This window comes from Homo sapiens, chromosome 17, assembly GCF_000001405.40.
Source record: "Homo sapiens chromosome 17, GRCh38.p14 Primary Assembly".
NCBI classification, from domain to species: Eukaryota; Metazoa; Chordata; class Mammalia; order Primates; family Hominidae; genus Homo; species Homo sapiens.
Window position 1 is genome coordinate 70103665 of NC_000017.11, and position 26985 is coordinate 70130649.

At 40.4% G+C, this 26985-nt stretch overlaps 1 protein-coding gene and 1 long non-coding RNA gene across 24 annotated transcripts in view, besides 2 other annotated features; one reads left to right on the forward strand and one right to left on the reverse strand.

Moving 5' to 3' along the window:
• Positions 1-26985, forward strand: part of KCNJ16 (potassium inwardly rectifying channel subfamily J member 16) — a 60384-nt gene that overhangs the window by 28440 nt on the left and 4959 nt on the right. For 3 of the 23 annotated variants that reach the window (NM_001270422.2, NM_018658.4, XM_047435957.1), the window contains one exon: positions 4637-4717. The exons of 3 other annotated variants lie outside the window; for them this stretch is intronic. The gene's annotated coding sequence lies outside the window, so the exon portion shown is untranslated. Of the gene's footprint in view, positions 1-1180; positions 1412-3036; positions 3125-4636; positions 4718-6696; positions 6779-20894; positions 20949-23484; positions 24408-26985 lie in introns of those variants that run through there. 17 more of the 23 variants (XM_017024609.2, XM_047435953.1, XM_047435952.1 and 14 more) reach the window with 17 other exon arrangements.
• Positions 16832-16881: an enhancer, noted in NCBI's record as "active region_12660". NCBI's record gives its function as "activates an Ori minimal core promoter by ATAC-STARR-seq in GM12878 lymphoblastoid cells {active_cell/tissue: GM12878}" and the evidence as "EXISTENCE:reporter gene assay evidence [ECO:0000049][PMID:35858748]".
• Positions 21568-25216, reverse strand: LOC124904052 (uncharacterized). Its single transcript, XR_007065890.1, has 3 exons — positions 24979-25216; positions 24405-24493; positions 21568-21598 (listed from the first exon to the last, which is right to left on the reverse strand). It is a non-coding gene; the product is annotated as an uncharacterized LOC124904052 (long non-coding RNA).
• Positions 24549-25748: an enhancer, noted in NCBI's record as "BRD4-independent group 4 enhancer chr17:68124354-68125553 (GRCh37/hg19 assembly coordinates)". NCBI's record gives its function as "activates an origin of replication core promoter dependent on BRD2, P300/CBP, MED14 and CDK7 cofactors, and independent of BRD4, by STARR-seq in HCT116 cells {active_cell/tissue: HCT116}" and the evidence as "EXISTENCE:reporter gene assay evidence [ECO:0000049][PMID:35650434]".

Below are 26985 nucleotides of genomic sequence, written 5' to 3' on the forward strand. Positions count from 1 at the left end.
CATGTTCATGGTTGCAATTACTCTATGTACACTGATAACTTCCAATCTTATATTTCCATTCTGAAATTCTCCCCTGAGCTCCAGACTAATATATTGTCTCCTTGACATGTTCATTTGGCTGTCAGAAAGCATATCAAATTTTGCACAATAAAACACCAATTATTGATTTCCTCACTCCAAAACTCCTTTTCTACCAGCTCCATTATCTGAGTAAACAGCACAAGTATTTACTGTGCTATTTATTGGGTAATGGTTCATTTTTATTTTATTATCTTTTTTTTTTTTTTTTGAGACAGGATTTCATTCTGTCACCTGGGCTGGAGTTCAGTGGTGTCATCCTAGCAAACTTGCAGCCTCGATCTCCTGGGTTCAAGTGATCCTCCCACCTCAGCATCCCAGGCGATCCTCCTACCTCAGCATCCCAGATAGCTGGGACTACAGGCACATGCTACTGTGCCCAGCTAATTTATTTTTTATTTTTAGTAGAGATGAGGTTTCACTACATTGCCCAGGTTGGTCTTAAACTTCTGAGCTGAAACCATCCTCCTGCCTCAGCCCCTCAAAGTGCTGGAATTACAGGAATGAGCCACTGCACCTGGCAAGTAATGCTTCTTTACAAGAAACTTGCTCCCTCTCTAATCTGAAATTTAGAGGAAGCAAATGAACAAACAGCAAAACAAGACCAGCATGTTGAAAGAACATCTAAACTTTGTCCTTGGAGTCACTACTGAGGTGGCTGATAGTCTTTCTGGGGGCATACGCTTCCTTGAAACCCAAATGAAATGATGTTGGGCAAGATGCTGTTTGCCATAGGTATAGGGTTACATAGTCAGACAAAGTGTGCATTTGCATAGAAAAATCTTTGCTGTCACAATCACAGAGCACCTACACTTAAGAAGCACACACTTGGAAGAGGTTGTACAAGACCTAGAGGTGTCAGTAAGAGAAAATGCAGCCTTCCAGGACAATAAGAAATTTAGGGGTAATGTGTGGCCACTTTTGTGATATGGAAAGATTTTTATTATTATATAAGCTTCCAGAGGTTTGATCAGAAAACAAAGATGTAAATAGGCATGGAAGAAGGCTATTCTTGGTTCTTGTTTTCTGTCCGCCACCATTGGCAAGACTATCTACTATGCGTAGGCATGGGAACCAGTTAAAGAAAGTGTCGATTCACTAGAGCGAAGCTGAGAACTCAGTGGCCTTTGTCTGTGGTGAATGTATCCGGAAAGGCAAAGAAGAGAGAGATTCTCCTGTGGGGTTTCTCATCTCCATGGCGGTAGGTGCTGACAGCTTCAGAAGGGTACTAACAGGGCCAAGAGAAAAGGGCCCTGAGATGCTCAGCTACGGTGCTCTTACAAGATGAAAAGGACATGGGGTTCAGATCTGCACTTCATCATCTTTCACTAAGGTAAGATCGTGTTGTGGATTAAAAGTGTTCCAAGCTTGAACTAATTGCTTGTCGGCTCTTTTAAGCTCATCCTTTTTGCATGTATCCCCGCTAATATGCATCTTTATGATGCTTTTTTTGGCTCAGCAGTCATGCTTTATGGAGGCATGCTCTATGGCTGGGAATAGGTTTTCTTTCTCTCATATATCTCTGGGGAATGCTGAGCCAAACAGATTAAAAATGTCAGTGCCATTTGCAGATCCATTAAGGGAAGTAACATTCAGAGACAGAGGGAGACTAAAAGGATGATGACTTAGCCAGCTGACATAACTTACTGACGTGGAGCAACGTGGAAGAGGTGAATCTTTCATTTCCTGTGGAAAACAGTCATTCATAAAACCATCTTTTTTGTATGTCTTTGTCACTCTTCCACTGTTGCAAAGTGACAGCAAAGTAGCATCGCAAATTTGAAACTGTGTAATAAAATACGTTGACATCAATTTGGAATTACATCTTCACAACTAAAAATATAGACAGAAATGCCGTAAAGACTCTTTAGAAAAACAACTGCTAAAAGGTAACTTCAATAAATAATAAGCCCTTCAAGCATTGAAATCTGACTAAGTATAAAAGCACGGGGCTTTCGAACTTTTAATGTTTTTCTTCTGCTCATTGCTTTCTTTCAATTTGTAATCTGGACTGTTGCTATGGAGTAAATAACACCTACTACATTCCATGCCTTCAGGTTTCCATTTCACTAGAAGAAGTGGCACAAGTTGAAGGAAGGCAGCTTATCCATGTGAAAATTCTAAGACAGTATAGATGCCTGGCCATGGGTTTAGCCATAAATGACTTACTTATGAAACATGTTAAGCTTTTCTGTTTAAAATCCCTCCCCTGCCTTTTAAAAAATTTCCCATGAATCTTGAAATAATCCTGAGAATTCAGATGGAGTGCGGGTATTTTTTCTAATTGTTGCTCAGAAAATCCTTGATCCAGTCTGAGTGTTTTGTTATCATTGAGCCATATGCAGAATTACAAAATGAAAATGAAAACAGGTCAGCTAAAATTAAGAAGTCAATGCAAGGAGTAAAGGCACAGATAATACCAAAACATGAGTCAGGATGATCTGTCTCGTTGGCCTGACAAATATGGCTCAAAATTATTTTTTTTAAAAAAGATTAGAAGTTCTGAAAGTCTACAATCTGCAAGGTAGAGACCAAATTGGCTACGCATTGGCAGTGTGACCTTCCCCCAAATTACTAAGCTTCTCTCTGCCTCCTTTTCAAAAGCCTTTACTAGTATCTATATCTTAGATATTATTTAATTTCATTTGATAATTGTGTACCTGACACACAAGGAGCACAGAGTAAATGGAGACAATTATTGTTAGCTCCATTTTAGAGAGGAGAGAAACTGATAGAGAGAGTGATAGGGGGTTAATAGCTAAGCTCTCAGTAATATACCAAGTGGTGCAATTCCAAAGATACATGTTTTGCTCTCAAGTTAAGAAAACACAAGCCAATTGCAATTTTGTGATGAGGAAGATGGGATACAGTTGCAATATCAAAGCTGCCTCTGACAACTAATACCAGCCCTGACCTGCTTCTGCCATGGTTTTCTGACCTGCAATATTTAATCTTCAGCTTTCAGACATCCACATTCCACCCTGGACCTTGCCTGTCTGGTAAGCCCAATCTCTGCAGGTCAGCCATGCAGCTGAGGTGAGGGAAGGTATGTTGGGATGGGCTGGCATGAGGAGTCATGGGGGTCGAGAAGAAAGTTATGGCAAGAGACATTCTTTTGTGCGTGCATAGTTTAACAGAGACGAATAATGTTCATTTTGATCTTTATTAAGAGGTGGCCTCTTAATAGGCCACCCCCTTAATAGGCCTCAGAATATCTGCTTTAAAGTGGCTTTTTCCTGATGGTTTCTTCTACCATTGTTACAGTAGCTGCCTCAAATCAGCCAAAGCAGAAGTTCCTATTTTGCTTGAGAGCTTAGGCTTCAGGCAAAAACTACTGACATTTATGAGATACCTAGTATTTTACAATGCTATCTGGTTAAATTCTTATAATTGTCCTTTTAAAAAGACAGAGAACACAGAGGTAAAATAACTGCTCTGAGTTCACATAGGCAAATGTTGGAGACGAGATTCAAACAGAAACTAGACTGACTCAAAAATCAAATCTAAGTGATGAAAGTAAAGGTACTGTTTTGTTTGCATCACTTAATAATTCATCTGGAATCACAAGTCATGATAAGAACCTAATAAGCCATATCATCAAAACCTGAGCTTGGGTCACCTTCAAGATGCAACACACCCAACATCACAGTAGATTCAGGGGCACCCTGAAACACAAGAGTAAGAAACAGAAACATCTATCCTTAGAGACTACCCTTGTAGCCATTCTGCTGAGTTGTATTTTTTTTTCATTGTTGCTTAGAAGATCCTTGATCCAGTCTGAGTGTTTTGTTTTCTTTGAGCCCTATGCAGAATTACAGAATGAAAATGAAAACAGGTCAGCTAAAATTAAGAAGTCAATGCAATGAGCAAAGGCACAGACAGTACCAAAACATGGGTCAGGATGATCTGTCCTGTTGGCATGACAAATATGGCTCACAATTTTTTTAAAAAAAAAATTAGAAGACTCAAGTCTTTTGACTTTACTGAGAAGATGAAGTCTGACACTGTTTATTTCCAATCTTCTTGGAAAGACTTTCACCACTGTTTATCTCATAAAATTGGAGTGCTATTTACCAGTTAATAAGAAAATGGCATAACATAAAACCTTTAAATACTAATGTTAAAAGAGAACTTCAGAGTTTTCTAGTTCAACCACCTAGCAAACTCATGAAGCTCTTCCTTAAATTCTTCAAGTTGATTATCCAAATTCAGAGTTAACACTCAGTAGATTGCTTCTGTTGTAAGGTACTAACAATAAAAACATTCTTCATGATACAGACATTAAATCTACATCCCTGTAAAATTCATAAGCAGATTCTAGCCCCGCCCTTTGTAGCACCATAGAGCAGGGCCCCTGTCTCTACTGCATGAATACAGAGTATTCGTAACTGCATTCAAGGGTGTGAACCAATTGCAGCCAGGGCCATGTTTTGACTATCTCAGCATACCTAGATCACAGTACAGGGAACATAGCTGGTGTTCAATAAAAGCTTTGAATATGCGAGTATATATCACCTTTAATAGTTTCTTCTCTGTTTTTTCTTTTTCCTGATTTCAGACATCCACATTCCACCCTGGGCCTTGCCCGTCTGGTGAGCCCAATCTCTGCTGGTCAGTCACGCAGTTGAGGTCAGGGAAGGTATGTTGGGATGGGCTGACATGAGGGGTAATGAGGGTCAAGATGAAAGTTAAGGCTAGGGACATTCTTTTGTGTGTGCATAGTTTAAAAGACAAATCAGTCATTTTGCATGTTGATATCTATAAATGACCACATCAACATATCTGCTTTAAAGTGGCCGTGTCCCAGTGGCTTCTTCTACCACTGTCACTTTTGAAGGAGGGTCCTGTTCCACTCCTTCATCACTATAGTGACCTCTATTAAACAAAAGAGGTACCAGGAATCAAACATTACATTTCAGATGTGAAATATCTCCCAATAAACCAGCATTCACTACTTCCACTGGGAATTCTCTGTGGCTAGAAAACTATTTTTGTTGAATCTTTGCCTTGATTTTCTGGGAAAGATATATTTTTAACCCCATTCACCTTCCTCCCTCCCTTTCTCCTTGCCCGTTTTTGCTAGCCCTCTGAGCTTGACATTGATAACTGTTTAGTATAATCAGTTGCCTAAATTTCCCTGCTTGTGAGTTTCTCCAATCCCTAGAGCTGAGGGCATTTGATTCCACACGCACGTCCTTCTGCTCTGGGCCGTGGGATGGGTCATTCCTAGAACTCCTAAGTGAGTGGCTCTAAAACTCATCTCAGGTGACTTAGCGAGCATTTCTTGCAGTGAGTTCTGCTCTGAACCTGTGCTCCAGTCCTAGTGACTGAGTGTTGTCTTTTCCTGAGTTCAGGTCCAAATAGCCACCATCACTCTGATTCCATGTCCAACAGTTCCTTTTATTATTAAGGCTTAAAACTTTAGTAATAAAATGAGATAAATTTCTCATGGCTTTTTTTCCCCAACATGTATTATCCTGTGACCCTGAATAAATATCCCAAACTAGTTAAGATTCAATTCTTTATCTTTAAAAAGGGGATAATATTGATCCCTTGTTCTCAGGGTAACTGGGAGAATTAAACATATTTCATGGGCATAAAATGCCTGGCATGTAAGAAGTGTTTCTCTCTGGCTGATAATTGTTATCTGATTATCCTCTCTCAGTTTGGAGGTCCTAAACCCCAGCTCCATATCTGGATCTGTTACTTTTTTTTGCCATACCTATTTGATGCAGACTTCTTAGCTACATAAATATCTACATACTGCCTATTATCCCTTTTCCTAACTTCCCCAACACTGGGTTTTCCCCTCTTTCTCTTCCCCCTGTTCTCTCACTGGGGGCCTGTTAAGCTGATTAAATAAGCCCTGCCCCTCTTTACTCCCTGTTCCAGCAGCTCAACTGAATTTCCGTCCTTTCACAGTCATAGCTGGATGCGTCCCAAGAACAGAAAATGCCACACTCCAGTGGGCAATCCTAAACTCTTGGCTTTCGACCTTAGAAGTCTGGCCACTACATTGCCTTTGAATCCACATGTGTCAGATCTAATAATACTTAGTTGAAGATTTACTATCTTCTCCCTAAATAACTGCTCCCTGCCACTGGGATGATCCTCTCAGCTCCCAGCCCCACAATCTGCTAGCATGGAGCTGTGAAAGCTGTATTCCATCAGCAAGGATCTCCCAAGGCTAAAAGACCCAGAAACCTGGCCATCTGCACCTACAATGTCAGGAGATATACCCTCTTCAAAGGGGAAGGCACTGCTTCTACTTAAACAGTTCTCCATTGTGATGACAATACATACTTTAATCCTGTAAAGTTTCTCCAGACACGAAGATGGAAATGTGCTTTTCTGCTTCCCAGTCTCAGGCATTCTTTTATCTCTAATTTGACATGACAAACAGACTCTCCATCGTCACCTGTTATGGTGTGAATGTCTCTTCATTTCATTAATGCAGGGCTGCCACTGACATAAAGGGTTTTTTTGTTTTGGGTCACTCTTCTGTACCCCTATCCTTCCCATATCTAATAATCACCATTATTATATTAAAAGGCAAATGTTCTGATCACAGCTTGATAGTGTCCTTGAAGTGAACAGGACGATTTTCTGTCTACCCAGTGAAAACAGCCTTTGGTCCTTCACAGTGATTTCACAGACAACCTAGAGCCTACGAGGAGACTGGAATGTTGATCTCTCTCAGGTCAGGAACCAGACTTACACACCTACACACTTCGTGCGCGCACACACACACACACACACAAACTCATTTCCGGCATCCAGTCTTTATGATGAGAGCTAGTTCTTCAGTAAGAGTCCAGCTTCTGGCTGCAGAAGGAATTAATGCCAAGATAATCCTGTGTACTTTGGATCCACGCAGTAGGAAGCTTCATGCTTGCTGCTTTCCTCAGGATGCCCTGTGACATCACCCACACTGGATTGTTTTTCCTTTTGTGTTAAAACACTTTGGCTTCATTCCAAAGGGTGTCTGAAGACAACAAGCCTTCCCTCCAGTCTACCCACTGGCCACGTAATCCCACAACTGGAAACATTCTTCTGCATGAAAAGGCATCACTCAATTAGCTCTCACTCAGAGCACCCCTCCCATGTCTCAGCTTCCTTTGACCTCTTTCCTTGCCGATGTTTTAGATTCTTAATGGTTTGGTCTGGTGGAGGTCTGCTACAGTCACTTGATACTTGTACTTGTGTCCCCCAGTGTGTATATCAAGGGCTGATATTATAAGGAGAGTGAGTAGATGCATCTCAGGAAAAATTAAAAATCACTTCAGATGCTGAAATAGTTCACTACAACCCTGGTGTCTGGAGTTGCAGGGAATAGGATATAATCTCCTCAATTCTAGAAAACATGGTTCAAGCTGTATACAAAAGATATACACATCTGAGGGTATGAGTGTGACATTAACCATTATGCACCACTCACACCAGTTACAGAGATCTGGGTTGCAATGCTAGTTTTTTTGCTTAGCTTGTTAATTTGCAAAACACAAAAGATATAATTTGCAAAACACAAAAGATATAATACAACCTGCTTTTCAAGATGGCTATTAGGATTATGGGAGAGTGACACAGCACTGAGCCCCAAAAAGAGGAGATGGAGCTGGGCTAAGGGGAACGTGTCACTAAAAGCAGAAGTGGGGAGCACACAGAAAAACCTTGATTAGCATCATAGATTGTCTGCGGGCTGGACCTTCAAAGTTGTACCACGCTGAATACTTGGTTGCACTATTAGACTTCCTGGCCATTACTGCTTGGATAGCTGAGATTTTGATTAGTGCTGTTCTATTAAACTGGTAGTAAAATATCTTTGGGGAAAGGAATGGGGTACATATGCTCGCAGACAGGCAAGGTCACTGATATGGTTTGGCTGTGTCCCCACCCAAATCTCATCTTCAGTTGTAGCTCCCATAATTCCCATGTGTGTGGGAGGGACCAGATGGGAGATAATTGAATCATGGGGTAGTTTCCCCCATACTGTTCCCATGGTAGTAAGTCTCACGAGAGCTGATGGTTTTATAAGGGGAAACCCCTTTTGCTTGGCTCTCATTCTCTCTTGCTGCTGCCAAGTAAGAAGTGCCTTTAGCCTTCCACCATGATTATGAGACCTCCCCAGCCACGTGGAACTGTGAGCCCATTAAACCTCTTTTTCTGTATATAAATTACCCAGTCTCAGGTATGTCTTTATCAGCAGTGTGAAAACTAACTAATACGGTCACCAATCTCAATGTGTTGCTTTCATACAAAGAACATTCTTTGATTCAAATGAGAAGAATATACATCAGAGTGGTCCTGCTCAGGAGAGGAAGTGGAGACCCCCTTTGCTTGATGGCACAGCATAGATGATGTGTTGCCACACTCAGGTGCCCCTGGGACCAAGAACCCGAGAACCAAGTATGAGTCCTGGAGGGCTAGGGGTTGATGGGCAGGGCCTTGCACTCCTTTTGGTTTTCACAAGGTTTTAGCGACATTTGGCCAAATATGAATAACAGGACAAATATTCCTTCAGCCTATTATGTCTTCTCTCGTAAATGTTTCTGGATAAGGGAGCTGGCATGGGCATATTCACAAGTTGTTGACAATCTGTCTTTGAGGACTGGTTTCTAATTTTTTTTTTTTTTAATGAGGGCATCCAGTCTATGTTTCTAGGGGAAAATTACATGAGATTTGGGAGTTCAAATGCCAATGATGTTTATAATTCTCAGCTAAAATGCCAGTATTTCTTTCCCTTGTCTTGAACTCTATGAATGAAAAAAAAAAATAGTGTTGGTTTATAGTATAATCCTTCCAGTTATGTTTTAAAGTTCTGCAGTACTCCCAAACCCATCAGTTGAATGATCTTTTCATAAATATTATCTATCATTTATGTGTACAAAATGGCATTTTGATTAAGTTAAAGCAAAAGGTAATTTTATTACCAGAGAAAATATTCATCTCATCCCTGTCCCCTTCTCTAATCAACCTCAAATAAAACAAGACCATGTGGTCTACAGTTAAAATTGTTATAAATAATATTTAATTAAATCAGTATCTAAAATTATTGATTTTTAAATACATATTGGAAATCTTTCTCCATGTAGCCATACCATACACATTCTTGGCTAAGAAATAATTTTGTTCTGGATGCAGGAAACCTACTTGTTCAATGCAAGCACCACTCAAATTTTCATAGGCAGATTATCTGCCGGATGAATTAGCCCAAGGAATTAAAATTAAAATTCCTAAACTTCCTTCTGCTCAACAACCCAGAATGTTTTCCTTGGTTACATCTTTCTCATCTGATAGCTTGATTTCAAGGGAACAAAAAATCAGTTTTAATGGGGCATTCTTTTCAAAGCAAATAATTTATTCCAAGTCAAATGCAAATTGATTTCTCACTATTTTCCTTTTATGGCTTATCTATGGCACCAACTTCCTTCATTCGCCTAGAAAATCAAGAAGTAACCACCCAAGCCAAATACCAGGGAAGCATCTTTGTTCCTTAAATGCTGGGAAAAGTCTTAACCCTAGTCACCTTTCTTTTGGATCTAGCAGCGTCTTTCTCACTTTGATATTATTCCACCATAGAAGTCTATATTCTCAAAGAGCTGTACTGACAGCAGGGCTGTGGTTTACTTGGCAAGACTGAACTTCTCAAGGGCAGTGATACTGCTCATAATTCTTAATCATAGTCTTCACAATACTTCAGATATAGTTGAATGTTGATTGAATTTAAAAATACACAAAGATGTGTCCATAGTTTTTTCCAGTCCCTTACTGTCATTGGTGTATTTGGCTGAATGGTACAGAAACTCTTCCCGTGAAGGTTTAAACACCTTACCATCATGGTTTCAGGGAAAAGTGCTCCCATCTTCCCCAAACTCAGTTCTTAGTTGCCCATCAACATGAATATTCCAGACTGAGAAATACTGGGAAAGTATCACTTTTCTTTTTAAGGAAAATATTACTAACTTGGGTTGCCGCTGTGTGTGTAGACATTCATAGATAATAAAATTCCAACCTTCCAAATCAGGACAGGATGATTCGTTATTCTTCTATAGCACTATCATGGAGATAAAAAGTGTGATTGGAAGAGAAAGTATTAAAAAAAACATGGAAATTCAAGATTCTATCAAATACACTAACTCCTGTCAGCTCTCTAAATCTTCTATTATCTGTAGTAAGTGGTAATGCTTCCCTGCTAAGAGGCCTTGAGAAGGCACACACTAATAGAAAGTTAATCTCATGTGACAAGCAACATATAGCTTAAGGTATTGTCTCAAGATGCTATCTATCTGGATCTTCCTAGGAAGATCTTTTGTCTTATATTTTAAGGCCTTCTTAATTTATCTATATCCACAGGGAAAATGGGAATTGAGACATCAGCCAATAACACTTACTTTATTTTCCTTTCCAATAAAGATGTCCTGAATTTTCATTGCAACAGCTTAAAACAGAAACCCAATCACTTAAAGGTCAAAGAAGTTGTAGACACTATCCAGGGAGTTTCTGGTCTACGAGTAAATCACATCTGTGAGTTCAGTGATTCCCAGCAGATTGAATAGACTAATAAATAGACTCTCTGTAAATTGCCAAAGAGGACAGTTTGCAGGCAGTACTCACAAATGGGAAAATAGCAACAGAGAGACAGGAGTTGGATTTCTGTTGGCATACCGTAAATGCCAAATTTTGAGAAGGTCAAAAGTCATGACACATATGCCTTCCACAAATTACATTTGTTTTGAAATGCACAGTTAGGTTCAACCAAAGCAGCTCCCATACAAAACTACATGGGAGCTACTAAAGATTAGTCATAGGTAACCTGGCATTCAGAAACACCATGGAGAGTGTTATCATTCTGTTGAGAAACACAAAGCAGGTAACTAGTACAAAATGACTTCTATTCTTAGCAATACTTGTAGTTCCTCTGGGCAGTTCTATCATGTCTCCTTGAAGGTAATGAAGGTCAAGGCAATTAGATGCTAAAACAGAATTCTGAAACAAGTCTGGGAAATTGCCAATTTTATAATTAATGGCGGGGGAAAAAAATGCCAGTTAACTCTCTCCCCATTTGGGTCTACACTTGAAAGATGATATTAATCTACATAAGATAATTCCACTTTCCATTCGTTATTTGGTTTGGCTAAGACTGTAGTCATAGCTACATGCACTGTGATTAAAAACTAAACAATACCACCTAGTATGAAAGGAGGTTTAGAAACACAGCTTCTTTTTATCCTCATAGCAATCCACTGATGTGCATTTTCAGATGGGCAAACAGAGGCTCAAAGACGTCGATTAGTTGGTGCAAACGTGCACAGTCTTACTAGCAATCAAGCAGGTACTTAAACTTAAATCCTTATGTATCAGAATCTAGGTCTCAATTTTTGAAACTTAAGGTCTCAATCTTCAAAATGCATAAGAATCAATTGAGGACCAATCAAATCAGGATTGGGGTGAAACTCAAGAATCTACAAGTGCAAGATGTTCTCTTAGAATCTGAAAGAAAATAGTTGACTACACTTTAAAAAACACCACTATACTATACTGCTTGTAGGGATATCTACATGAGGTGTTGGAGGTTATGAATATGTAGCTTGAGGTTATGCCTAAATAGCTGGGGACAGCTATTTAGGCAAACCTGCATCATGAATACATAATTGCCCTCCTCAGAACTCATTCATTTAAAGGACCATTTACTTGAGTTTTGTACATCTAGCAATAGAGACCTCAAAGTAGGAAAGTTGCAGAATAGCACAATTTTTAACATTTTCTTTCCAAAGTTATTGAAAATATTAAGATAAAAGAAAGATTGTTAAAACAGACATTGTTACACAAGCCAAGAAATAAAGGTATTAACAGTTTAATATGGTTTGGAATGGGAAAGAGACAAAAGGAGGCACCAAAAAGGGGAAATGCATTTGGTGCCCATTTAATGCTAACTCTGCTTCATCCCTGATTTGTTACCCACTGTTTTCATGATTTCTCCAATTGCTCTCCAGTGGCCAAATGTGATCTGACTCCCTCTTCTCCCTCCCACCTCCTTGTTTTAAATGAGATCTGGTTTTACTTAGATGAATTAAATGTCACTATATTTGTTTTTGTAAATTGTTCCAGCAAAAATTACAGCATCGATGGCTGACTTTAAATGTCTGTACGACTGTCTGCCTTGCTGGGCTATTTATAGCTGCCTTTTAAAAAGTCTAATAAATGCTTTTAGATTGCTATTGATTTGTTTCCCCTTTACAAAGCCTCAGAATTAATATTCTTCAAAGTATTAACTGAAAACACCTTTTTTCTTTCTGCAAAAGTCATGCATGTTTACTGTTAAATTTTAGAGAATATAAGTATGTGAATAGAAGAAAAAAGGGAAAACTAATCACATCAAAATTAACATTTTGTTGTATATGATTCTGTTTTTTCTCCATTTTTAAATATATTTAAACTTAAAAAATTTTATTGTATGAGAGTTTTTATAGCCCTGTTTTTACTTTCATTTAAAAGGCCCACATTTTTTTCCCGTCACTCTTCTACTCCATTACTTTTAATGGCTATAGAGTAATCATATGATTGTACCATTACCTATGAAATCAACCTCTCATTTATAAAATAGCTAATTCACATCCAGATTTTGTCACTACAAATAGCCCTCCAATGTAGTCGTGTCTTTGTATTCATCCGTAATAATTTCTTTAGAAAAAAATTGCTGAGAACGGAATTGCTGCATTGGAGGTTGTACCAGATTCATAGACTATTGTCACACATAGCTAGCTTACCTCCAGAAATAGTTCAAATTAAATGTATACATTTGAATATATCTTTAAAGTGACAATATAATAACACATTAATATTGGGGGAGTCACATTTCTAGTAATTCAATTATAGCCTTAACAAATTTAATTAAACACTTTTACACAAACAGACACTTTTCAAAAGAAGACATACAAGCAGTCAACAAACATGAAAAAATGCTCACTATCACTAAGCATCAGAGAAACGCAAATCTAAACCACAATGAGATACCATCTCACACCAGTGAGAATAGCCATTATTAATAACTTTAAAAACAACAGATGTTAGCGAGGCTGCGGAGAAAAGGGAGTGCTTATACAGTGTTGGTGGGAATGTAAATTAGTTCAGCCACCGTGGAAAGCAGTTTGGAGATTTCTCAAAGAACTTAAAACAGAACTACTATTCAAACCAACAATCCTGTTACTGGGTATATATTCAAAAGAAAACAAATCATTCACCAAAAGTCTCATGCACTCACATGTTGATAAAGGCACCATTCACAATAGCAAAGGCATAGAATCAACCTAAGTGCCCATCAATGGTGGACTGGATAAAGAAAATGTGGTCAATATACACTATGGAATACTACACAGCCATAAAAAAGAACAAAATAATGTCCTTTGCAGCAACATTTACGTAGCTGAAGGCCATTATCCTAAGTGAATTAACACAGGAGCAGAAAACCAAATACTGCATGTTCTCACTTAAAAGTGGAAGCTAAACATTGGATACTCATGAACATAAACATGGCAACAACAGACACCGAGGACTACTAGAAGGGAGAGCGGGCAGGGCTTCAAGGTTTGGAAAACTAACCTCAGCATCACACCAAACCTCAGCATCACACAATATACCTGAACCAAACCTCAGCATCACACAATATACCTGAATAACAAACTTCGACATGGACCCCAGAATTTAAAAGCTGAAAAAATAATAATAATATAAAATTTCATACTGAACTCCGTTATCAGTCCTGAGGAAGACGATAACATAAAAACAAGTAGTATCACCTTTGTGTTTTCTGTTTATAAGCTGGTATCTGCAACAGGGAGATGTAGGATAAATGGGTGTTTGGAGAACTGTCAACACTGATGTTTTTATAGTCTTAGGAGTACTAACTCTCTTATGAGTGATGAAATTTCCTTGAGGATAAATATCATCTTTGTATTATTCAATTATTTATTCATCTATTTCTTCAAAATATAATTAGTAAGTGCCTATATATCACATATTGCTTTAGCTGTTAGGGATACAGTGGTAAATAAGACAAGCATGGCCCTCGTGGAGCTTACAATTTATTTCACAGAACAATCTAATCAACAAAAAAGTTAATCAGTAGCAGAAACATCCTTGGGCTTTAGAGCAGGGTGTGGCAAACTCTTCTGTAAAGACTCAAAGAAACTAGGATAATATTTAAGGTAGTAAATATTTTAAGCTTTGTGGACCACATGGCCTCTGATGCAGCTACTCAACTTTGTAAGTTTGTGTGATGTAGGGGAGGGAAGACTTTCCCTCTAGCCTCAAGTTCAGTAATTCAGTAGAACTTATGATTGTTCAGAACTTGAGTCTATAAAATAAGCTGACAAGAGGCAGATTTTATCAGTCCATTCTTACATTGCTATAAATATCTGAGACTGGGTAATTTAAAACCTAGGTGATTTAAACCTGTTTTAAAGAAAACAATAACACAGGGACACAGAGAGGGGAACATCACACACTGGGGCCTGTCGGGGGTTCGGGGGCTAGGGAAGGGATAGCATTAGGAGAAATACCTAATGTAGATTACGGGTTCATGGGTGCAGCAAACCACCATGGCACATATATACCTATGTAACAAACCTGCATGTTCTGCACATGTATCCAAGAACTTAATGTATCATTTAAAAAAAGAAAAATAAATAAATAAACAAATAAATGCTGAAAAAAAAGAAAAGATGTTTAATTGGGTCATAGTTCTGCAGGTTCTCCAGGAAGCATAATGCCAGCACCTGCTTCTGGGGAGGCCTCAGGAAACTTACAAAATGGTGGAAAGTGAAGGGGGAGCAGGCACATCACATGGTGAAAGCAGGAGCAAGTGAGAGAGAGAATTGAGGAGGGAGGTGCCACCATTTTTAAATGACTAGATCTCATAAAAACTCACAATCGTAAAGACAGCACCAAGCCATGAGAGATGCGCCCCCATGATGAAAACACAAAACACCTCCCACCAGGTCCCCCTCCAGCACTGGGGAATACATTTCAACATGAGATTTGGGTGGGGACAAATACCCAAACTATATTATTCTGCCCTGGACCACCCCAAATTTTATGTCCTTCTCCCATTGCAAAATACAATCATTCCTTCCCCCAAATTCCCAAAAGTCTTAACTTATTCTAGCATTAACTCAAAAGTCTGAAGTCTTATCTGAGACAAGGCAAATCCCTTCCACCTATGACAGGTTAGTTACTTCCAAGATACAATAGGGGCATTGTACAAACAGGCGTTGGATAAACATTCCCATTCCAAAAGGAAGAAATTAGTCAAAATAAAAGCTCTACAGGCCCCACACAAGTTTAAAACTTAGCAGGGCAGTCATAAAATCTTAATGCTCCAAAATAATCTCCTTTGACTCCATGGCCCACATCCAGAGCACGCTGGTGCAAGGGGTTAGGTTCACAAGGCCTTGGGCAGTTCCACGTCTGTGGCTTTACAGGGTTTAGTCCCTGAGACTGCTGTCACAGGTTGTTGAATGCATGTAGCTTTTCCATGTGCAAGGTAGAAGTTGCTGGTGGATCTACTCTTCTGGTGTCTGGAGGATGGTGACCCTTTGTCACATCTCCACTAGGCAGTGCCCCAGTGGGGACTGTGTAGGTGGGCTCCCACCCATGTTTCCCCTCTGCCCTTCCCTAGTAGAGGTTCTCTGTGGAGGCTCCACCCCTGCAGCAGGCTTCTGTCTGGGCACCCAAGCTTTCCCATACAGCCTCTGAAATCAAGTAAGAGGCTACCAAGCCTCATAACTCTTGCATTCCATGGACCTGCAGGCTTAACACCACATAGAAGTCACCGAGGATTATGGCTTGCACTCTCTGAAGCAGCAACTCAAGCAAGCTGTGTCTGGGGCCCTTTGAGCTAAGGCTGGAGCTGGAGTGACCTGGATGCAGGGAGCAGTGTCCCAAGTCTGCACAAAGCAACAGGGCCCTAGGCCCTGCCCACAAAACCACTATTTTCTCCTAGACCTTTGGGCCTGTGATGGGAGGGGTTTTCTAGAAGATTTCTAAAATTCCTTTGAGGCCTTTTCCCATTGTGCTGGATATTAGCACTTGGCTCCCTTTTAGTTATGCACATATCTCTAGCAAGTGGTTGCTCCACAGCCTGCTTGAATTTGGCTCCCCAAAAAGCCTTTCCTTTTTTGCCATGTGGCCAGGCTGCAAATTTTCCAAACTTTTACACTCTGCTTCCCTTTTAAATATAAGTTCCAAATTTAGGTCATTTCTTTGCTCTTGCCTCTGAACATAGGCAGTTAGAAGCAGCCCTGGTATATCTTGAACAATTTGCTGCTTAGAAATTTCTTCTACCAGATACCTAAATTATCACTATGAAGTTCACACTTCCACAGATCCCTAGGGCAGAGGCACAATGCAGCCAAGTTCATGCATGAGTCACCTTTGCTCCAGTTCCCAATAAGTTCCTCATTTCCATCTGAGACCGTGTCAGCCTGGACTTCATTTTCTGTATCACTATTGGCATTTTAGTCACAACCATGTAACACTAAGCAATTCCAAACTTTCCCTCATCTTTCTGTCTTCTTCTGAGTCCTCCAAACTCTTCCACCCTCTGTCTGTCATTCAGTTTCAAAGCCACTTTCGCATTTTCACGTGTCTTTGTAGCAATGCCCCACTCTCAGTACCAATTTTCTATATTAGGTTCTTTTTGCATTGCTATAAATACCTGAGACTGGGTAATTTATAAAGAAAAGAAGTTTAATTGGCTCACGGTTATGCAGACTGGACAGTAAGCATAGTGCCCGCTTCTGCTTCTGGGGTTGCCTCAGAAAGTTTACAATCATGGAGAAAGGTGAAGGGAGAGCAAGCACTCCACATGGTGAAAGCAGAAGTAAGCAAAAGAGAGAGAGAAGTGTCTGGGGGGAAAGAGAGATGCCACACACTTTTATATGACCAGACCTTGCAAGAACTGGTCGTGGTCATGAAGACAGCACCAAGCCATGAGAGATCTGTCTGCATGATCCAAACCACCTGGCCCCACGGCAACCCCACCTTCAGCATTAGGGATTACAACTCAACATGAGATTTGGGCAGGGATAGATATCCAAACTGTATCACAGATTAACAGGAGAAAGTGTATATGCATTTATCAAGTGCATTTTCTTTTATAGGAAAGAAAAGTGAATACTCAAGAAACCAGTTAGACTTAAAAGCTTATTACCCCCTCTTTATAAGGGAGAAGAGAGTGGGGATGCAGACAAGTTAGGGGGTATAAATGATTTGGGGGAAAGATGATGGGGTCCATAGAAGAAGAGGTGACAGTCTGTGACAAAGTTTGTCTGGGTGTGGCATGAACTTCCACTTACCCCTTCTGGGATATGAGTTAATCTCTGGTTGATAAAACTGGAGGATGGCAGGGGTATCAATGACAATTAAGAAGTTCTTTTTGGAGGATCTGTCCCTAGGCAGATAAGAGGATCCCAGAGAAAGACTCTGCCTGCATCTGTTGTCCCACAGAAACTCCAGTTTAATGTAATCAGCTACCAAAGTGGCATATTTTGGGGTGGCATTTCCTGAACATTTTCAGGAACAATATGTAGCCGCAGACCTTAAACAATGGTCTGGCTGTATTCCAATAAAACTTCATTTACAGAAACAACTCAATACTCAGATTTGGCCCTCAGGCTGCAGTTTTCTGACCCCAGTGTTTGTTAGTGAAAAAGGAAGATACGGTGAAGATCTCTACCTATCACAGAACGGTGAGAAGAGTAGTAGGAAATACTTTAGAGAGAGGGCCAGATGTTAGATGTATCAATCTGCTTACCATACAGATTATGCAAATTATTCTAATTGCAATGGAAAGAAACTGGAGAGTTTTAAGCAAAGAGTGACATGTTTTGGCTTTGTTTTAAAAGAGGGCTGCGTGTAGTGGGTCACACCTGTAATCCGAGCACTTTGGGAGGCTGAGGCCAGCAGATCACTTGAGGCCATGAGTTCAAGACCAGCTTGGCCAACATAGTGAAACCCCTAGTGAACATTTTGCTGCTTAGACATTTCTCTACTGAAAAAAAAAATACAAAAAATTAGCTGAGTGTGGTGGCACATGCCTGTTGTCCCAGCTACGAGGTTGAGGTATGAGAATTCCTTGAATCTGTTAGGCAGAGGTTGCAGTGTGCCAAAATTATGCCACTGCACTCCAGCCTGGGCAACAGAGCAAGACTCTGTCTCAAAAGAAAAGAATAGAAAATAGACTGACGTGTAGGAAGGGCAAAAATAGGAGACCTCTTAGGAAGTTGTTGCCATGGCCTACTGAAGACAGTGGTTTTGACAACAGTGAGAATTGAGTAGATTTAATATCTACTTAGAAGTGAACTAAAGGGCTTGCTGGTAGTTGACATGATGATTTAAGGGAGAGTCATGAGACCATATGCTTGCATATCGGATACTTTTTTTTTTTTTTGAGAAGGAGTCTTGCTGTGTTACCCAGGCTGGAGTGCAGTAGCACTATCTCGGCTCACTGCAAGCTCCACCTCGCAGGTTCACACCATTCTCCTGCCTCAGTCTCCCAAGTAGCTGGGATTACAGGCACCCGCCACCACGCCCAGCTAATTTTTTTTACTTTTTTTAGTAGAGATGTGGTTTCACCATGTTGGCCAGGCTGGTCTCGTACTCCTGACCTCAGATGATCCACCCACCTTGGCCTCCCAAAGTGCTGGAATTACAGGCGTGAGTCACCACGCCTGGCCAGAATACTTTTTAAAAAGGTACATGTAATTAAATTTTCACTGATTTTTGTTGTTGATATTGTTCAAGCAACAGAAATTATCCCTGGTTAACACCAGCAGAAGAAAACATTATTGGAAAGATAACAGTTTGGCTTATAGCATCAAATATAAGAAGATACAATCTGATTTGAGCAGAAACAAGAGGAAAGGCAAAATAACAATCCTGTCTCAGAGACTGCCTCGTAGGGAGCTGTGACTTGCCTCTCTCTTTCAACACCTAGATGTACACCACCTCACCACTGGCCTCTTGACTGCCTGCCATTCCCTTAAATAACAGGAGTCAGTAACTCTGCGTCGCTTCCTCAAGATTCAGCCTAGTTCGTGAAGTTCTGATTGGCCACTCCTAGATCATGTGGCCCTGCCGCACATGAAGGGTGAGAAAGCACTGTAATGAGAGGTGGCTTCTGATACCTTCTCTGGCCTCATCCTAATCCCAGTCATGATCATCTCTTACCTCATTGTTGAAACAGCTTTCTGGTTTACCTCCCTCCTTCTGCTCTTAAATTTCCCCCAACTGATTTTCCAATGGACAGCCGGCATGATCTTGTTCAAATGCAAAAGTTATCATGCAATGCCCTTGGTTCAGATATTTCAACAGCTTTCACTGTTCTTGGGAGAAATATCCAAATCTTTACCTACGAGATATTCTATGCTCTGGCTCTCTCTTTCTAGCCTCAATTCTCCCTCATTTCAACCCATGCCCACACTCAGGTCTTTGGAAAGCATGTCCTATGCACCTTTGAAAAGATATTGAAAAGATAACAGTTTAGCTTATAGCATCAAATATAAGAAGATAGAATCTGATTTGAGCAGAAACGAGAGGCAAGAAACCTTTGCATGAGTCATGCAGCCTTTGCAAATATTGTTTTCTCTGCCTGGGAAACATTTTTGCTTCCTCTTCTTATTGAGTTAATTCCTCTTCCTCTTTCAGATTATAGCTTGGACATATATCTCTCCCAGACTAGATAAGGCCCTGTATGATAAGCTATCAGAGGAGAGAGATTTATTGAAGTTAAGGGATAAGGATGACTATAAATAAAAGAGAGCTTCCCAGGTGCTAGCTATTATGCGCTTTCATTTTATGTCATTTATTCCTCATAAAAACATTTTGAGACAAATTGACTATTGTCCCCATGATTTCAATAAATACAATGAGGCTTACAGATGCTGATTCCATGCAGCTAAGATGTGGCAAAAAAAAAAATTATAATAATGAGAATCCAAGTCTTTGATCTTCATATTCCTGCCCTTTGACTATTCTGCTGTTAGACCACATTCTGGAGCTTGGACTGTAACCACGGTAGCAGAAGGAGAGATACTTACATTTCAGGTTTAGAAATGATTGCTCTGGATGAAAGAGGCAATAAATGAGTTGAAAGGCTGTTATGTAAACCAGGTGAAGCCAGGTGAGAGATCAGGAAAGCCTGCATTCAATGATAAAATGCAGATGCGTTCCTGTAATGATAACTTCTTATGGAAACCAGGTCTTAAAATTAGCTTAGAAAGAGGGAGGCTGCAGCCAAATCACACCTATCAATAGTGCTCTCACTTAACAACCAGATAGTGACTGTACCTCAAACAAACAAAATAAGATAGGGAGCAAGGTCTGAGTTGAGAGCATTTTAACCTAAGGCTCGGAATGAAGAGCTCACTCTGAACTTGAATGTCAGGCCCTAGGCCAAACCTTCTTGGATGGCCCTGGTTCAATAGTAACCTCCCTCCTTGCTCCAGGCCCTTCTCCATAGTATCACTTTCTTTTGTGTCCTCCATGATAGTTACTGCTATCAGAGATTGTTCCTTTGTATGGTTTTCATGTTTGTTGATACCCGCCTCTCCAATGTAAACTGCAATTCTGTTTTCCGGTGCCTAAAAGTGGATGGGTCTGTCACATAGTAGGAACTCATTTTTTAAAAAAAAACTGAATGAAAAGAAAACAAGAATGAAAATAATTAGTAGCAACTACTCCCAAGGGGAATGTAGAGGCTGTTGGGGGAAGTGGTTTCCTTATACAATGAAAGGAGGCTGAGCTGTGGTCTTTTACAGGAACATCAGATCTCGTGTTATCTGACTTCTTTGCCAACCCAGATCCAGCTCAAGGTAAAAATCTAAGCAACTTGGGCTAACATCCAACCAAGACAGGGATGGGCAGACTGATTTTCAAGATAAGAATAAGAGAAAGTTTCAGAACCGTCTTAGTAAAACATGTACACACAATTTAAGACAAAGAATAAGCATGATAATCACCTTGTGGATTTCTTTAGCCTGTTAACTTTGCTAATCTTGTCAGTCCTGTCTCCTTTAGGCTCGTTCCTAAAGTAATACATAGCAAAGGAGTAAGCAGTGATAAAATTTTTAAACTGAGTTGAATAGATGGGTGTGTGTTTGTGTGTGTGTGTTCAGATATGGGTGTTGACAACAAGGAGCAGGGGATCTCCCATGTAGTGATGGTTGTAAAAAGAAAGGAAAGTTGGCTGGGCACAGTGGCTCACATCTGTAATCCAACACTTTGGGAGGCCGAGGCTGGAGGATTGCTTGAGGTCAGGAGTTCAAGACCAGCCTGGGCAACACAGCGGGACCCTATCTCTAAAAATAAATAAAAAATTAGCCAGCCATAGTGGCACACATCTACAGTCCCAGCTACTTACTTGGGAGGCTGAGGTGGGAAGATGGCTTCAGCTCATGAGATCAAGGCTGCAGTGAGCTCGGATCATGCCACTGCACTCCAGCTTAGGTGACAGAGCAAGATCCTGTTTCAAAGAAAAAAAAAAAAAGGAGAGGAAAGAAATAAAAGTCACCTTGTCCCTGGGGCTTTGAGGAACTAGTGAAAGGACAGAAAAGTGGCCCAGGTTGCTTTGTGGTAGGAAACAGTGGCACTATTCCTGAGCTTAGATAGAAATATATACTGGGAACCACAGGCTCTCTGCCAGTGTCCTGCCAGTGGAGCACCCTTTGAGAGAGTGAAAGCAAGTGTTCTGATATTCTACAGAGGATGAAACTCAGTTCTCATGGTGTTACTGGAAAAGGCTCCTGGTCCAGACCCCAAGTGAGGGTTCTTGGATCTTGCGCAAGAAAGAATTCGGGGCCAGTCCACAGAGTAAAGTGAAAAAAAGTTAATTAAGAAAACAAAGGAATGGGCCAGGTGCCGTGGCTCACGCCTGTAATCCCAGCACTTTGGGAGGCCAAGGAGGGTGGATCACGAGGTCAAGAGATCGAGACCATCCTGGCCAACATGGTGAAACCCCATCTCTACTAAAAATACAAAAGAAATTAGCTGGGCGTGCTGGCAGGCACTTGTAGTCTCAGCTACTCGGGAGGCTGAGGCAGGAGAATTGCTTGAACCCGGGAGGTAGAGGTTGCAGTGAGCCGAGATCGCACCACTGTGCTCCAGCCTGGAGGCAGAGCAAGTTTCCGTCTCAAAAAAAAAAAGAAAAATAGAAAACAGAGGAATGAAAGAATAAAGAATAGCTACTCTATAGACGGGGCAGAGCATTCCCAAAAGCAAGAGGAGGAACATGCCCACCTTGGGTGCAATGCTTTTATATATATAAGATAACAAAGCAAAAAAATCATGGGGGAGATGTGCTTTACTACAAGAGCTTTTGACAAATAATTGTTAATTCTTGTGTAACTACAGTCTTCTGCAAGAATTTATATTATTATCTTTAAAGTGAAACTGATTCTTAGTTTAAGAATGCTTTTGTTCTTAAGATATCAGGACATCAGGACATTTCCTGGGTCTGTTAGGTCGTAGGTCTGTTCAGTAAACACGATTAACTTATTCTCTTAACTGTAAATATCCTGTTAACTAAGAATGCCTAACCTCCTGGGGAATAAAACCCAGCAGGTCTGAGCTTCATTTTACCCAGCTCCTACTCCAAGATGGAGTCCCCCTGGTTTGAATGCCTTTGACAATGGGGTTCAGATTCAAACAATAATTATTGAATGACTCTTGTGTGCCTGGCACATTAAAAGGTGGCTTCCCATTCATTATCTCATTCAAACTTCACAGTACTTTGGTGACATAGGTATCATAACCTTATTTCATGAATTAGTACCATGAGGCTCAGAGAAAAGTTATTTCCACAAGATGCCCAGGAAGTTGAGGGCAGACCTGGAACTGGGGTCCGCCTCCTGATTCGGGCCCTCTCTGCAATACCGAAAACCATTTTATTTTAGACTATTTATTAGATTGGTGCAAAATCATTGTGATTTTAAGTTTTGCACCAACCTAATATTAAGGGAATTTGATTTCTAAACTCGGTAACTTAAAATTATAATTTATATTGTTTTGGTGCAATCCTGACATCCAGAACCATGGAGAAACGTAATCCCAGATTCTACATTTCTTCTACTTCTTTATAAAACAGCATTTGGGGAGAGGTAGGATTTATAATCAGATGTAGATACTACTTAAGGAAAAACTGGGCTAGAAACAGGATCTCCAGATAACGTTACTAGTGATGCTGATACACTGGATTTCTTCCCAGCTCCAGCTTTCATTTAGTTGTTTGCTCATAACATATTATAACCCCTTTCTATAGTAAACTGGCACAAGGTTTTCTTAAATTGATTCAGGAGGATAAATTGTAAAGTTATATCAGGAGAGGGGTAAAATCCACATTCACCAAAATGGAGGATTAGGGTTAGGGGTTAGAGCTGAGAGGGAGAAGAGATCAGAAAGGGAAGAAAAGGTGTAGGACACCCTGCTCTGGGGATGAGAAGGGAAGCTGAGAATGCCATTGACTTGTCACCAAAGGAGAAACTGAAGTTAGAGAGTCAGGGAGTATTTGGAGAAGCGTGGACAGTTATCTAGTAGGTTCTGGGTAAAGCAAGAGTTCAGTGGCCGAATGAAGAGCTCCACCTAAGCGGGTCTGAATGTCTTAGGAGGATTCCAGGCCTCAGGCTCCTGCATAATTCTACGGCAAGGGCAAGAAGTTGTAAAACAGGTTTTTGAGCAAAATAGCCACATAGACTAATTTGGCCTGGCATTGTCCTAACTCTTAATACCTCTCTCTCTCTGCTCCTCAGCACCCAAAGCCCACCCATATGTACCAACCAACTGCACCTTCCTCTACCGGCCTACTCTTCATCTACCCTGGGTCCCATCCTCCCGTCTCCTCCTCCTCCTCCCTCAGAGCTCCACCTAAGCCTGTCTTCAAAGGCAATGACCTGCATACAGAATTAGGCCATCTCTTCTACTCTCCACCCCATCAGCTCTCAAATTTCCACCAAAACTTATCTCATCTTATAGTTGTCAGGAAAGCAACTTGAATAATGATGACTTCATGTGTTAACTACCTCAGGTCCTTTACATGGTAAAGAAGGCACTCATTACCTCAAACACCACAGACATTCAGAATTGTGTTTTCTGAAGAAATTTTAGACCTTTTTTGTGGTGCATCTCAAAGTATACAAAGCACACACTTCATATTAACATATCATGTTAAGTAGATGCTAGAGGAAAGATCCAGTTTTATCACCAGTGTCTTAACCACTGTGTTGTACCCTCGGCATGAGCTTACCTTTGAAGAGCAATCTACAAGAGGAGTTTACCTGGTAAGTCGCTGAATTTGAGAGGAGGTGGCAAAATGGCAGAGGAATTGCTTCAAAATGGATGAGTCTGATTGAGACGCTTTTGTATACTGGAAACGGGGACAAATAAGCAGGATGTGCATTTGTTATGTTGAGAATGTTCCTTGCTGTGTTTATAGCTTATTTGAAATGTACTAAATTATTAAAAGTTTCTCCTTAAATACAAAGATTTAGAAAGCTGAGGCCTAAAAGTAGATCCTACTGGTCACAGTAGATTAAGAAATGTTTCTGTATCTGAGCTTAAGACAATGAGTAAGATACGAGAAAAGTGGTTATCAGGGTTGGGGTTACTGACCCTTCTAACTTCCCCTCTCTCAGACCTCCTCGTGGGATGAAGTAAATCAGGGAGTCTCTCGCTGCTTTCCTCAGTGTCTGTGGGTATTTAATAAACGTTGATGGAAACGCTTCACCAACCTGAGTGCATTGCCTCTCTTCTCTAGCCTCATCTATAAAAGAACTCTAAGTCATTTCTAAGCCAAGAAACGGCTGTGCTTTTACTACCTTTGTCATTATTATATGTCAGAATAGACCTTACCTGATTCAGCGTTTTCCTTCGAACTTCATATTCTACAGCTTTGTAATGATAGTTGATAGTAATTTTCATTTGCAATAAAAAAATAAAAGTTTAAACCAATGAAATAGCTGCAAGCCTGCTGTATCGGTTCGAACCCCAAGAGCGCGGTAACAAACACCACAAGGCGGTGTGGAGCAACACGCTGTTCTAATGAGCGCCTGGGTACAGACGGGCTGAGGTCTACAATGGCGTCAGCACCAAATGAGTATGCGGCAGGGGTTTATAAAGTCTCCTGTAAACAGGAAGTGTCTCAGTCTGATGTAACTGCTACGCAGTACGCGGACGGCCTCTCTTTCCGTCTTCAGCGGGTACGTGTCTTCCGGGCAGCCCTCTTCCTGCTTCTGCTATCTTGCTGACGCAGGCTGCTGACTCAAGTGGTCTTGAGCCTTGGGACTGGGCCTGAGAAGGGAGGAGTTATTCACCCTCCACCCCGCAGCTTCCAGGCCCAGTGGAAAGTCTTTCAATAGCCACCATCAGTTTCTACGGAGCAACATGTAAAAAATTACAAAAGTAGGAACATTGCAAATGCTTTCTCATGGCGGAATTAATGGCGACAAGAAAATTACGAAAGCATCGAAGCACTTTTAAGGCTGAGTTTTAATCCTAAGAAACACAAATGCTAAATATAAAATTCCAGTCAATCAACAAGTGCTAGCCTCGATTATTTAATGGTAAACAGTTGGGAAAAAGCTCAAATTAACACGAAATACTAAATAAGAGACTAATAAATATTTCATCTAGTTAGTGTGACAAAAAGGCCTCCATAAACTTCTTTGCTCATTGGGTAGGCTGAGAAATGGGTCAGATTGGATATGGTTTATTTGGTTACAATTGATCATTTGGCCTAAAGACAACTGTCTTTTAAAAAATGCGTTATTTATATCGTTGGAGAGTCAAGAAAAGGATGAGTGTATAGACCTAAACAGAATCTGAATGCTTGCCTTTGGCTAAGTTGAAGTTAATGATCACAATAATGAACCACATCAGGAAACATGGTGAGCTTGGGGCCGAATTTTCAGTTGTAACTTGTACCTCTCAAATTGTTACATTATTCAACAATACATTTTCCACACACTCAAATTTGTTCACTTGTAACTTGTATTAATTGAAAATTCATTCACTTTGGAAGGTGTTTTGAAAGAGGCTTGTGTATAGCAGTTGCTGGTACCCCTGGAATTCAAAATGATGCCAACTGAATGCCATTTCAAATAAAACCTTTCATTTATTTATTTATTTATTTATTTATTTATTTATTTATTTATTTATTTTTTGGCAGAAGAAAAGAGCAGAGTCACACAGTAGCTCTCGATTTATGAACAGTGTTTTCTAACTCTCAGACTCCCACCGTGTGTGTAGTTCCCTTGAAGGAACTAGGTTGGACACATTTAACAAGAAAATAATTGTATCTCTATATCTGCTTTTTAATTTGAAATCATATGGACCTTTGATTATACTTCATCCCATTCTCATGCCTCCTATGACCAGTTGAGAGGGTGGACACTGAGAATCCTACAGCAGCTTCTTCTGTTTGTAAAATATTGTTCAATGACAAGTCAGACAGATAGAAACCTCCAAAGCATGGTGGCTATTGTGGACAAAATTTGTGAAAATATTTTACATTGGACCTTCCAGTAAGCATTTTCGCAGCCCTAGGTCACATCTTGAAATTATACAATTGGATCCCCCCAAATTGGGTTGAAGTGCTGACAAACGAGAGGATGTAACAGATCAAAACTGATCTGGATGATGGGTGAGTGAAGTGCAGGCAGATAGAGGACAGAGATAAACCCATACATGCCTTACGGGAGTTTGTGGCTTTAAGTGGAGTCCATCCTTGTAAGTGGTGCATTAAACAAAGAGTTTATTGTAAAGTGGGCCTGATCCCTGGAGGAAAAGAAAATTGATTCTTTTTCACTGGAGGGAAGTTAACTCTTTCTGTCCTTTTGCAGCAGAGAAGGTGCTGAACAC